Raw genomic sequence first — 14,535 nt, 5'->3', positions numbered from 1 at the left:
CCCCCACCTGTACAAGATATTTTTTAAAAAATTAGCTGGGTGTGGTAGCACATACCTGTAGTCCTAGCTACACTGGAGGTTGAGGTGGGAGGACTGCTTGAGCCCAGTGGTTCAAGGTTACAATGAACAATGATTGTGCTACTGCACTCTAGCCTGGGCGACAGAGTAGGACCTTGTCTCTTTAAAAAAAAAAAAAAAAAAAAAAAAAAAAAACCCAAAACTGTGCACTGTAGTTTGCTCCTTATTTTTTTGGTGGTGGGGGAAAAGGGAAGATAACTTTAGTGTACCATTTTGTCCTTTCCTAGAATGCCCATATCTAAAATACTATCTTCTAATAGGAATTCCTTATAGCACTCTACAACCTCACTCCAACCCCAGAGTATTAAAAAGAAAAACAAAAAACAACAACAAAAAAATCAAACCTGAACTAATGAACAATCTGGTGTTATATAACTTACTTTGAGGGCATGTAAAGACAAATGTATCTCAAAATTCTAGTGTTAAACAAACAAAAAAACCACCTGTGACTCTGGTCAGCATACACAATACCCTAAAGCCACAACAAATAATACAATTTCAGGATCCAGTGTTTGTAAAGGACCCTGGATCCTGAAAAGGAGACTTACTTCCTTAAAACTTTCTTTATTAAATTTTTAAATGTGATTATATTTATATAGTAAGCACTGGTATACTTGTGAAGTCAGAGGCCTCAAATTTTAACTAGATACCAATTATTCCTTTGTTAACAGTTGGTTCTTTTCATATAACCAATGAAGTATTGAAAATCAGGTGTTATTTACAGCATATGAACATTACTAATTCTAAGTAAAGTTCAGACAGAGTTTAGAGAACTGATCAAATACTCGTAACAATAACCACTTCCAAAATAAAGGCAGCATTTACTGGATGCTTATGTTGCACCAGCCACTGTTCCTTTAACCACTTTTCATGCATTAACTCAAATAATGCTCATAATGTTTAGGAGAAAAGTATTATTCCTATTAGACCAAAGAATTAAACTCATCTTGGCCAAAGCCAAAGCAAGAAAACCACAGCTAGAATCCTCACATTCTTAATCACTATTTCTTCACCTTTGGTATATCTTGATTTAGTATTTTTAAAGACTATATTAGTCATTAGAAAGTGACGTATTGCTGAAATGTGATAACTTTAAGATACTGTAATTAGGAAGGATAAAACATTTAACAGGTACAAGACTTTTAAAGTTTTAATATTTTATTTAAAACACATAAAATCAAATAACTTGGATTTTAAATGACAAAGTTAAAAAATATATGACATCCTTTCTAAATAACATACATTTCAGGTCTAAGGGCAAACCATTCAAGAAATGTTAACTGATGAGCTCTCTACACTTCAAGTAGCACCAGTGTCCCAAGTGTACCTGAAATTCCCAGAGACAAACATGGTCTGGCATTTCAAGAGAGAGAATTTTGGCCAGGTGCGGTGGCTCACCTGAAGTTAGGAGTTCAAGACCAGCCTGAACAACAAGGTGAAACCCTGTCTCTACTAAAAATATAAAAATTAGCTGGGCGTGGTGGCAGGCACCTGTAGTCCCAGCTACTTGGGAGGCTGAGACAGGAGAATTGCTTCAACCTGGGACGCCTAGGTTGCAGTGAGCTGAGATCATGCCACTGCACTCCAGCCTGCGAAACAGAGCGAGACTCCATCTCAAAAAAAAGAAAAAAAAGAAAAAAAAAAAGAGAATTTTTACTGGAGAAAGTTTCTTATCTCAAACTGCTTGTATTAAGCCAAGAAATTCTGGTTCCAAAAAAGAAAGAACAGAAATTTCCACATTCCTCTTCTACAGTGTAAAAATATTAGTTAGTGAAAAATCTAGAAGGAAATAGTTTTAGTAAATGAACTAACCTAAATGCTTCTTCTGCTAAAAGGGGAAGTATCGACAAAACATCACTCTGAAAATTCATGATGACTCTGTTGAGTCTAACATACAGGGACAGGGAGAGAACCAGCTGGAAGACACTAGGATAGAAGCTCAATTTTTCTGATTATACCCAGCTTCGTAAATTTCACTTATTAACCATTTAAGTATTTTACATAATCATAAAACAAAACCTAATCCCTGAAAAATCTGAAAGTAAAATGTAACAAATTAACCTCACTGTGTATCAAACTGGTGGCACAACCATAGAGAACTATTCTAAGGGGGATTTCAAAATACTGTAATCTGACTATATATGGTCATGTGCCACATAACGACATTTCAGTCAAGGATGGACCACATATGATAATGATCCCATAAGACTGTAATGGAGCTGCCCTACAAAGGTGTACCATTTTTTATCTTTTATACCGTATGTTTACTTTATCTTTTCCATTTTCAGATACACAAATGCTTACCACTGTGTTACAACTGCGTATAGTATCCAGTGGTCACATGCTGCACAGATTTGTAGCCTAAGAGCAATGGGCTATACCATATAGCTTAGGTGTACCATCTAGGTTTATGTTAGTACATTCTAGATGTTCACACAATGACGAAATCACCTGACAACACATTTCTCAGAAAATATCCTCATCAAGTGAGGCATGACTATCTCTATCTCTAAAGGGATATACCCTAAGGGCAAAAAGACATGAGAAAACAAAACAAAAAGCCACTTTCCAGTAATCATATTGTTCTGTCACACTAAAACTGTAGTGTGTGTATTGTGGCACAAAACAAAGAGAAATTACATTGGTGTTAGTGAAAACTGAGATTTTGGGCATGGGGAAAGGGAGAAAGATTAGGTTTACGTAAACATCATGTAGCACTGAGTTTGAAATGCAGCTTTTAAAATACCAAGTGATATTTTTAAAAAGAAATAAAATACTTTTAAACTTTGTTCATTGAAAAATCTAGAAACAAGGCCCAAACCAAGAGCAATGAACACTCCTACCATCCATACTGTGGTTTCTAAGTACCATTTTTCATTAAAAGAATGAAGAGGTTTCTGCAGAAATGGCTGATTCCAGGTTTGGGGCAAAAAATGTACAAAATTATCCTAGAACATCTAGTAATAGTAGGAAGCAAGGAAACAAGTGAGGAAAGTATTAAGAATGAATCAAAAGAATTTAGTAGCCAACAGACAAAGGTAGGACAACCTGAATGTCAAAAATAGTAACTGCCAGAGACTGTAACATATCAAACATGTTTAAAACCATGAGTACACAATAATAATACTTCATTCACGTCTTTAGATGTTGCTAAGTTACCAACCCATTATTTTGAAAACTAGTAAATAAGGGGGTAAAAAACCCAAGTGCTTATCTTACCTTCTGTATATAAACTATCTTAGTATAGCCAAATAAAAATAAGGGTGAGTATTCCGGACAATAAATGAAGAAGTAAGAAAATATCATCTAATATGAAGTAAATCATGAATATAGGCCAGTGATTCTCAAAAAGGGTGGTGTGAGAATGCCTGAAGTCCTCTAGATTCTGTCAGAGGGTTATATGAGGTCTTCCATTTTCCAACCAATTATCTGTACAAGGCCAGATTTTCTTCAGTCTTCAACCAAAACAACTTATCACAAGAAATTAAATGCAGAAGGAGTTATGAGAAAGCAGCTGTCTTCTATTAAGTCAGACATTAAAGAGATTTGCAAAAATGTCAAACGACACTTATAAAATTAAAAATGTTATTTTTATTAAAAAATCACATTACTTGTATTAGCAGGCTTTATTACTGTTATTTTAATATTAATAAATAACTTAAAATTTTTCTCAGTTTTAGTTTCTAATATGGTAAATCTTGACATAATTCACACAAACAAAAGCTCTTCCAGGTCTTCAATTTTTAAGACCACAAAGTTTGATCTAGGCAATGAATAACAACAGCTGCTTAACATTACACAGACAAGCAGAAATTATGTAACTCTTAATGGAAATACACAGTACTATTATAAAATATGCTTACAATCTATCTAAGCAGTAATTTACATGAAATACAGGTGGGGGGAGGTTGTTTAATAGAGGAATGTGTTAAATGATTATCCAACCTTCAAAATCCAGAGTACGAACTCCACAAAATAATGAATTTCTTTAACAAGAATCCTACATGGAAAAAACAGAATCTATAAAGACTCAAACTTACCAATCAAGGTATGGACCTTATCCTGATCAAATGGAACCTTTTAAACTAACAGTTTAATAAACTCCAAAGTATTTTTCTATTTTGTAGTAATTGGAGTTTTTAATAATAAAAAATTAAAAAATTAATCAAATCTATACCTACTCCTTCCCTTACTACCACCTAATGGGAAAAGAAAAAAGACATTCGAAAAACTGCTCATTTGGAAATGGGGGTTCAGAGAGGTCAACAGATAAATCGCAGCACAGGAGACTCCAGAATAAGAAGAGCTCTATCAAGAAAAACTAGGTTGCTAGGTAGCGACTAAAAGTCTCACAATCCTCTACAATTATGGTAAGCGTATAATTTATGATCCAAATTGAGACATTTTTGAGAGTGAAACGGGTGCTATTACTAATTACGCTAGGATAGCAGGTATAAACCAGGACTGTCCCAAGGAAAGTAAAACGTGGTCACTATCTACACAAGATTAATTTTTTTTTTTTGAGACATAGTTTTGCTCTTGTTGCCCAGGCTGGAATACAATGGCGCAATCTCAGCTCACTGCAATTTCTGCCACCTGGGTTCGAGCGATTCTCCTGCCTCAGCCTCCCGAGTAGCTGGGATTATAGGCATGCGCCACCACGCCCAGCTAATTTTCTATTTTCAGTAGAGATGGGGTTTCTCCATGTTGGTCAGGCTGCTCTCGAACTCCAGACCTCAGGTGATCTGCCCACCTTGGCATCCCAAAGTGTTGGGTTTACAGGCATGAGCCACCGCACCCAGCCAAAAGATTAATTTTAAAATTAATTTTCACAAGAGATATTTGACATAATCCTTTGGGGGTAACTATTTGCCACAGAAACATATTCCTAGTATTAAAGTGTTTTTAAAAAAATGAGGTGTACTATAAAAAAAATTGTTTTTCATCTCCCTTGGCTGGCATAGTCATTTCATGAAGTGGGATATGTTTATTTCTCTTGTTGCTCGGTGTACTACTGCAAACTTCCAGCCATTCCTTTTCATACTAACTGTTCATGATAAACTGTAAGAGGAAGGTTACACCTACCTAGAGCCTTCCTTCTCTAAAAATACATGTCTTCCCCTGGGACTCCACACATGGCCTAGGGTTTAAGTAAGAGTGGCATCTACAGTAACTTCTTTATTTTTTATTTATTTGAGACACAGTCTTGCTCTGTCTCCCAGGCTGGAATGCAGTGGCACGATCTTGGCTCACTGCAACCTCTGCCTCCCAGGGTCAAGCAATTCTTATGCCTCAGCCTCCCAAGTAGCTGGGATTACAAGCTCGCACCACCATGCCCGGGTAATTTTTGTATTTTTAGTAGAAATGGCATTTCACCATGTTGGTCAGGCTGGTCTCAAACACCTGACCTAAGGTGATCCACCCGCCTTGGCCTCACAAAGTGCTGGGATTACAAGTGTGAGCCGCCACGCCTGGCTGGCTACAGCAACTTCTGAGATCTGTATATGATGTTAGCATAATTTTCATATTTTTGGATTAACACTAAATATCTGGCTTTAGTACACTTACATAATATGCCACCAATAAGGTGACTACCTGATTTATCTGTGAATATTTTATGTCACTTTGTTTTTAAAGGTTTCTAAATATTGGGTAAACTTTTTCAATAAAAGCCCCAATATTAAAATGTGTAACAATTTGGTATGCAGACATTATAATTTTTAGCTCCATCCTAAAATGTGCAGGGACATGTAAACCCACCCTTATTTTGTTCTATTACTAAATTACGACATTAAAGTTCTATTTGCCACAAATAACACTAAATTTGTCTAGGAAAAAATAGCATTTCAAAAAGGACTTCAAAATTTTAGACTTGCTCTTACATTTTCCTCAGATCTATTCTTTTTTTTTTTTTTGAGACAGAGTCTCGCTCTGTCGCCCAGGCTGGAGTGCAGTGGCGGGATCTCGGCTCACTGCAGGCTCCGCCTCCCGGGTTCACGCCATTCTCCTGCCTCAGCCTCCCAAGTAGCTGGGATTACAGGCGTGAGCCACCGCGCCCGGCCAGATTTATTCTTTTTTAAGGCATTCCACCGAATATATTTCAGGCTGTGGGCATAAACACATACTTCCATGGGCATAGTAGTTTGTACCATAGAAATTGAGAAAATAAAAATTTATGCTTTCATACAACATTCTAATGCTACATTCAGCATATAATCAATCATACTGCTTCAAAGGCCCTTCTCTTTGTTCTGTTTTAGGTTAAACTCTTTTGTCTTTAGAACTAAAAGTTTTTTTAAAAATATGCCCTTTAGATTCTACCCCAAATGTTACCATAATAAACACATTTATTTTTAAAATAACTCTATCTGATTGGGGGTCTTCTCTGTCAATCTGGTTTCTCTTATAAAACAAGTCAACTCTCAACAGCCTACGTTAATAAGGGAAAATGTAAAATAAACGCAGAAGTAGTCTAATTGCCAACAGGTCCTTCCAGGTTCTTCCTTCTAAGTAAAACCTTCCTTGGATACCAAGAATGCCCAAACAGTTGATTATTAACTGCAGATCATCCTACTTCACAGAAACTGTGAAAGTACAAATTGTATGTGTTGTGGCATGTACAGAGGTTGGTGGTAGGAAACAGAATTTTTGAAACATAAGCCAAAGAACATAACAGGACACAGAGATGGGGAAGAAAATCCAACAACAAAAACCCCCTTCATACAAAACGACAAACAAGGGGCACAAATAGAAAGCAAGGAGATCCACCTGGGCATGTATTAAAATTAACATATCAACAGTATTAAATATGCTAACATGATACTGGAAACCAGATTCAAACTAGATCATAATATCTAAGAATGATGAAACAATCATCTTACTACATTCAGCAACGCATATACCTTATTAGATTACTCAGTTTTATTTGAGTCTTCACATTTCAGGAGTGGGGTGGCGAAAATCTCACCATTGAAAGACAATAAAAATGATAAAAAATAAAATTTCCCCCTTTGTGGGGGTGGTATGGGATAAAAATGGCTTGAAGAACATAAATTATGCAGCTTGAAAAAAGAACTCTAAGACATGAAAAATTTATGTTCAAAGAGCTAATTAATTTCACCCCCACTAAGGTAATAGGGTAAACATACATAGAGGTCTAATTTTTAACCTTATTTTAGTCATAAATCAGATTTATACAAATTAGTATTTTCCAAAACAAATTGCAGATATTATGTACAGAAGAGAGCCCACCTTTCTTCAAGCTAATAATACAGTGGCATCTGGTGGTAATAATGACTGTGAACGGCCAACGAAAATTAAGTATGCTTAAAACCTTTCTTTCTGTAAGGCTGAGAATCTGAAATGGTTTATCAAGAAAGAAAGTAGAAGATACAGAAGTTACAAAATCTCTATCACTAAAGACTTTTAAGAATGGGGCAAATTAGCTTTGTATTTAAGTACATATAAACAAGCCCACAACCTAGCATAATAAAAATCACATTAGCCCATCCAATTTTCCCCCTTTGTCCTAGTTTCTTTTTGATGGGAGGAGGCGTTGTGAGATAATAATAGCAGGAAATAAGGTGGAGCAGCTGCACAGGCAAGATGAGGTACAGTGCTTGTGTTTCACCTCCATTCCAGCCCTCTGCTGGCTAAGTCTTGGTGAAAATGAGATTAGCTGTTTGGGGAGCCCTAACAGTTATCAAAACCTTTGGAATCAAAATGTGGTCCCTTACTGTCTCACTTTTACCAGGAACTTCTTAGAGCCTCTAGCAAGATCCAGGTAATAGGAGCAATGGAAGCTACCCTGAAGAGATTTCTAATTATCTGGGAAGGGGGAGGGTGTAAAGGATGTTTAATACTGGCAATGTGGGTCATAGCACATGCAGAGAAAACTGTCTGGTATGGAGACTGGTGCTTGACTAGATGGCTTCTATTTTAGTCCCACAAATTTATGGAAATAATCCATGTGAATAAATTATAAAGAAAGAAATGACTACCCTAAATTTCTGTAGTAATATAAAATATAGCTCACTAGATTTTGTGTTAATGCTGTTGCTATTTTACTGATGAGAAACTTCCAACTAATTACAATAATAATTAATTACTCAAAATTTCTTTTGGTCGAAATATTATATCATTACTGCCAAGACCATTAAATAACAATATAATGTTAAGTAGTAACACATCCAGTTTTCTTTAACAGAGAGAAATAACACAAAACTTGGTCAGGCTTGCTTAATATTACGTGTACGAAAGGCAGTTTTTTGGTTATTAATCGGTTAAAACATCTCCTCTGCTAATCCATAAATGGAAATTAACATTCCAGTTCCCTTTATTGTTGCATGCAGTATAGACAGAAGGGAAAACTTTAAGGCTAGTTTAGTAACATTGCAATATAGGTGGTACCTCAACCCAAGCAACAAATGTGCTCTTGGAAAACTGTTCAAACCAATTATTTCTAAAAATTAAAGTCTTTTAAAATATATTAAGCATTTTGAAAAACCTTGTCATATATTCCTTCATAAAAGAGAAATCCTATCACAATTCAAATAATTGCCAGCTAATTTGCCTATAAATGAAATTCTTTATTTTTAAAAAAAGAACTGACGCAAAACATTTATTTTAAAAGTAACTAAAAATGTTGTTCAGAACACCGATCCTTTAACATTTTAATGAAAACTTCAATAGGGACCCAAATTTCAAAATATTTCATTATGATTTTGGTTTAAAGGACCAGATAACCAACAGATCTTTTCCAACTCTATGATTCATACTAAGTCTTAATAAACTGGATGCAACTATCCCACTTGTATGCGAGCTGAACACAAATGTATCAAAAGAGGTTGCCTAAACTAAAAGGTGGGGGAGGGAGTAATCTCCAGGAAATATCAGGTTCTCCAGGAACTAAGGATGAGGCTGAAATTAAAAAGTAGCCTTTCTTCAGTTAGCATTTTACATATGGCAACCCAACACATGAAAGCTGTAATGTGCTACCTATCTTAATGAAATAAAATTGTAGACAACTACGAGCAACTATTTCATAAAGGGAAACAAATTATTCTACATGTTCAGGTCCAATCCCAACCCAAATAAACACATTGTATTACAATGTGTTTTTATTCAGATAGAGTATTCTTTTCCATTTCTTAATGAGAATTCAGCTCTAGAACGGGTCTCCTCGGGAGGTGACTTGCACCTAGGAGGGTGCAGAGTGTGGGATTTATTTTATTTTAACCTATACAGAGCTTTATTTATTTTTTTATTTTTCCTTGGCGAGAATGGATCCCTACAAGATATTCTGAAATGTATCAAATTTGGGGTTAATAGTATGTGGTTGGCAAAAATTCAATGCTTGAGTGGGAACTAAAAATGATTTCTTTAATTGTATGCCAAACTGAATAATCTCCCAGGGAAAAGAACCTCCTCCTCTTGCCTTTCCTACCTCCTGCCCCTCCCCCACCAACATTGCCTCCCTGCTGTGCAAAGAGCCCTTTGTCCTGCCCCGCACTTATCTAGCTGTTTGGCCATATTGACAGGCCTACTGGAGGCATAATAAGGGAGTCAGTCTGACATAAGCAGCTGGCAATTTGAAACAAAAATCTTCCTTTTCTACTTAGACCAAATCCTGCTGCAGAGGTCTCTGGCTCCTCCCATGCTTCCATCTATTTCTCAAACAGAGCAGCAAGAAATTCAGCATTTTCCCCTCCATTAGGTAGCACAAATCAAAAACTTGATTCCCCAGACAGAAATCTATTTTGTATACATTCCTATAGCTACCGCTTTTTGTGATTCATAACATAGGCCAAAAGTATACATGTAACTAACATGGCTAAGGCAATGCTTCTCATTACTTCATACTGCCATGAAAGCTGTGGGAATCCTTATACCACAACGAACCCATAAGAACACAGAAGAGAAAGCAGCAGCCCAACCAAAGCAACAGACATGAGCATCAGGCAAAACTGGCCTGATGTAAAAACTTAAGTGTTTTAAAAATACTAAGACATTACTCCAAGAAGCAGAAAATTCCTTTCCCTGTCTTCATATCAAACATACTTAATGTGACCTTACATTAAGTAAGGTATTCCCTCAGGTACTCAGCAAACAAAATCAATATGATGGTATAAACGAATGAGGCACGATGCGATTACAAATTCCTTGCTCAGTGAGGGCACATATAAAGCAGACTGAGCTTACCTTCATTGTTTATTTTATCCCATAGTTCCCTTCGCTAAGTATTAAAGACAGAATGCATTTTGTCCCAGGGTAGGGGAATTCTCTCCAATGTAATGCTTTCTAACAGCACCTCCCCCCAAAGTTACTGGGTATCTTTTACGCAATTCATAATTAAAGATACAATAAAACAGTTTTCCTAAGACTTATTTAACAAAATGTATATAGACAAGTGAAGGAAACTATATTCTCTCCACCTTTCATGAACTTCCCAGAATCCCACCCACAAGATAAATCAATCATTTTGCCACATATTTTGGAATTTTTGGCAGTAAGGAATGGTACCAATCCCTGCCCATCACGGGTACACTACATTACTTTCTAAAGAGTGCCTTTGAAAGAATACTTTAAATTACAAATGACTACCAGTTATATCACTAAATATACGATGCACATTTTGCAAAGTTTGATGCCTCAAACAAAATATACTGGTCAAGAAGTTTCAGTTTTCAACACTTGAAATACAATTTTTATAAATAAAATTCACTGCTAGACCTTCTGACTTCAAATTAAACTGATGAATCACCAGAGTTCAGCCAAAAATTATTTTTAAAATTTTATTTTATTCATGATCCAGTTCCCCTCTGATAAAATGTATCCAATAGTCATTGACTGCTGTTAACTATGGCCTAATTTTTCATAAGTTATTTCAACATGGAGAGGATAAAGCAAAAGTAATTATCTGCAAATCTGTACTTTGCACTTTATTATTTCCCCATTCAAAGGTAAAAATGAAATAGTCATTCTCCCCAGAAAAGCCAGAATAATTTCAGAAAGTCAGTTCCTGGACACAAAACAGTATCAAAAGATATAAAAAAGTTTTCAAGGGTATAACTTAAGTAAATCCTTCTATGAAAAGGGCCTGTATGATCCTCTAAAAAATGATAATATCAAGAGCACAAAAGGTTCCAAACAACAGGAAATTCGAGTGTAAAAGCAATTATTTTATATAGCAACTTAAGCCACAGAGTAAAAAACTACAAACATTTTTATCTTAAACCCTAAGTATGTCAAACAGCCAGTATACATGAAATCATATTTATCTGCTATTGCATCTTATCTATGTGATAGTAATAAGAATTGGAACCTCCTAAAATAGTATCCATTAAAGGTTCTGTTTCATTGGTCTGCTTTTATTACTGGGAAAACAATGTGAGCCACATTTGTGAATGACAAAACTCATTTCCATTCTTTTTGGTTCTCTGCCACAAATGCCAGAGTGATACTACAAATTATAGATGTTTGTGAGATTTAAGTACATTTACACGAAAATGAACAAATCAAAATTCTGAGAGAAAAAAGTATAGGATACACGAGTCTTGGGGAAGAAAAACAGCACACAGGAATATGTCCAGTATTGCATATAATTGGTGGTGGTGGTTCTCCTTCAAGTTTTTCCACGCTCAGACTGTTTTGCTTAATCAGAGATCATCCTAATGTTCAGGAGTTGTGGGGGAGGGGAGATCACCTAAGGGGCTCAGAGGCCATCTTCTCAGTATCCTGAACTAGACTTATTCGATTTCTGCATATTTCTTCTGGTCTGTCCTACATTTCAGATGGATTATGGCCAAAGACATATATTTGTGATGTCAGAAGGCTATATCCAACATGTATATAATGAATCAATCTTATAAGTCAAACTCCAAAGAAAATATCTAATCTGGAGAAGTTTATTACTAATATACAAATTAAAAATATTTATTTAGAAACCACTCCAAAATGGCACCTTTTTAGAGTTTAAGAGTTCAAGCTTAGTAAAATGTTTAGCAAATCGTCTATAAGGTAAATGTGGTCTAATCGAAAGGATGGAGACACATAACAAAATAATAAGAATTGATTCTATGATTAAAGAGATGGAGGAAGGCATGATATGTGAGCTGCAGGAAAAAATTCCTGTTATTTTCTTCCTATTGTGGTTATCAGAAAGATTCTTAAAATTATTACTTGGGTTTTTAAACTGATTGAAAAATTAAAACTCTAATGGAACTTTTAGTCCTATCCAAGCACAAATGTCTAGATAAAAAACAAAAATCTGCCAAAAAACAAAAATCAAATCAAACAAACAAAAAAAGAAAGGCTTTAACCATGATCCAGTTTCCAGATGCCAATATCCATAAATGGGTAGGAGATTATGAATTACTAATTCCCATCTCCCCACCAATAAAAAGCAAACCAGCTCAGCAGTGAAAATTCCCAGAAAAGCAAGGTTTCTTCTTAGTCCTGAAGCAGCCATCGCCTAAGTGCTGCTCCCTGCAGCCAGCAGCATTAATGGACGCTGCACTGCTGTCCTTCCCTGGAGACAGCAGCCAGCACTACTCAAGCTTCTCACGTAGCAACCAGAGCTCCAGAGCCAGCAGCTGCTGCTGCCTTGTATACTCACCCCTGTGATCCAACCCAAAGGAACAACCTTCTCTTTACCCCACCCCCACTCCTTACACACACTTTTTTTTTTTTTTTTTGGACCAGTGCTCCATGCCAGAAGGGCTGGAATTATGCTTTTAAGAAAGAAACAATCCTAAGGTCACCCTTTTAAACCAAGGCCTTTTATTAGAAAAATCAACATTTACCAAATTCTAAATATCCATTTTAATTAAGCCAGCAGTTTAGGAGTGAAGATTAAGCTTTGGTCTTTTGAAAGCCAATTTCCCAAGCACTCTACAATCTAATTTAAATTTGCAGCTAGAAACAGAGCCTTGTGTCATGTCCTACCAAAGGGCATAATTCATTTTTCTACACATAATGACAGTCTGAGTAAACCTTAAAGACTCTAATCCCATAACAGGCCAGAATTTTTGGCTACAGAAGAGAACTAATGATCCTGAGAAAACTGGAAGAAATCCAATAGAAAAAAAAAAGCCCTACGTCCTCTATGGAGCCCAGAAACCTCTGATTACGTGGGTATTCTCTGCTTTAGTCCTAGCTCAGATCCCACACATCTAAAATTACCACTTAGAACTTTCTGTGACCTAAAAACATTAATAATATAAAATTAACAACCAAAAAATAATTTCAAATAGGGAGTACACACTCTCCTAAAAAGCTCAGCACACTCCACTCAGCTGGATCCTCCCCAATCACAAGTATAGCTATGTAACATCTGTCCAACAAAGAAATGTAAATATGACCTTGGTCACAAATATGTCATCTAAAAACTTGTTTAGTCAACTGATGAAGGTAATTAGCACAGAACTTGGGGATTCGTTCAGTACCTATGTGCAGGAAGGAAACTGGAGAAATGAACTTAAATATAGACAAAGCCCAGTGGAACCCAGAGGTCTGGGAAAGAAATGAGTTACCGGTGAATACATTGCACAAGTAACATGAGAAAGCAGAAAATGCAGGTCATACACGCACCCCTGACCCAGACCAGCAGAGCTGACTGCAGCATCCATATCCAAGAGAAAGACCACTGACGCCCAAGAAGTGAGACAAGCAAGGACTCTATAGAATCAATTAGCATAGAAGGGGCTTTCCCAACAGTTTAACTTTCCCTCTCATGCGATTTACCTACTTGAACCAGGGCTCTTTCCTACACTCCTCTTCACATTCCCGACTTACACGCAGAGGGAAAGAGAATTCATAAAGGGAATATTTTTCTGCCTTTGAAGATATTCTCACAAGATCGTTCTCCACGCCCAAGGCAAGTAAAACGACACAATCTGGCTCAACTCCAGGCTCGAACCCTACACATTCAACGAGGCTATCTCAGACACGCTGTGGCACACGCCACGGGGAGCCAGAGAACGTGTGGTGGGGGTGGCGAAGGTAATGCCTTTGGGAAGCAGCCATCTGAGGTGGGAAGCCAGAAAACGAGAGGGAAGGCGTCCAGGAAGATTACGGAGGGGAGATCGCGGCCCCCAGAGCGATCAGAGTTGTCTGTCACAAGGCCGCGAGAACGGGGGTAGGGAGTGGGGGATCGGGGAGAGAAAAAAAGTATGCCTGTGTATTTCGAGCGGAGGGCAGCAAGAGGCCTCTCCTCAAGGGAAAGGTAAACGTGGAGTAGGCAGTTCCCAGGAAAGGGGGTGAAGAGGCGTTGGGGGAGGGGAAGCGTCCTGACCCAGGAAAAACATGAAAGGGGGAGTTGGGTCGCCTAGATTAGAGGGGGATCTCTCTCCCTGGGAAAATGGGGTGTTGCAACGGTGTGTGCAAGGCGGCGAGGGGGGTGAGAAGTGGCAGCATCCTCCTAAGAGCTTGGGGAGGGCCAGGCCCACGACCCAAGGA

The 14,535-nt window shown here is 37.1% G+C and overlaps 1 protein-coding gene across 39 annotated transcripts in view, besides 3 other annotated features; it reads right to left on the bottom strand.

Moving 5' to 3' along the window:
- SETD5 (SET domain containing 5) overlaps nucleotides 1-14,535 on the bottom strand; it is an 80,540-nt gene that overhangs the window by 65,554 nt on the left and 451 nt on the right. The window lies entirely within an intron of this gene.
- Nucleotides 8,862-9,156: a silencer, noted in NCBI's record as "tiled region #11896; HepG2 Repressive non-DNase unmatched - State 6:EnhF". NCBI's record gives its function as "represses a minimal TATA promoter and a strong SV40 promoter by Sharpr-MPRA in HepG2 cells {active_cell/tissue: HepG2}" and the evidence as "EXISTENCE:reporter gene assay evidence [ECO:0000049][PMID:27701403]".
- Nucleotides 9,248-9,748: an enhancer, noted in NCBI's record as "NANOG-H3K27ac hESC enhancer chr3:9444537-9445037 (GRCh37/hg19 assembly coordinates)". NCBI's record gives its function as "activates a minimal SCP1, AML or CMV promoter by ChIP-STARR-seq in naive H9 embryonic stem cells {active_cell/tissue: H9 hESC(naive)}" and the evidence as "EXISTENCE:reporter gene assay evidence [ECO:0000049][PMID:30033119]".
- Nucleotides 14,119-14,168: an enhancer, noted in NCBI's record as "active region_19403". NCBI's record gives its function as "activates an Ori minimal core promoter by ATAC-STARR-seq in GM12878 lymphoblastoid cells {active_cell/tissue: GM12878}" and the evidence as "EXISTENCE:reporter gene assay evidence [ECO:0000049][PMID:35858748]".

This window comes from Homo sapiens, chromosome 3 (genome assembly GCF_000001405.40).
Source record: "Homo sapiens chromosome 3, GRCh38.p14 Primary Assembly".
In the NCBI taxonomy this organism is placed as follows: domain Eukaryota; kingdom Metazoa; phylum Chordata; class Mammalia; order Primates; family Hominidae; genus Homo; species Homo sapiens.
Note: the sequence above shows the minus strand (reverse complement) of the source record. Positions and strands in the feature narration are given on the sequence as shown.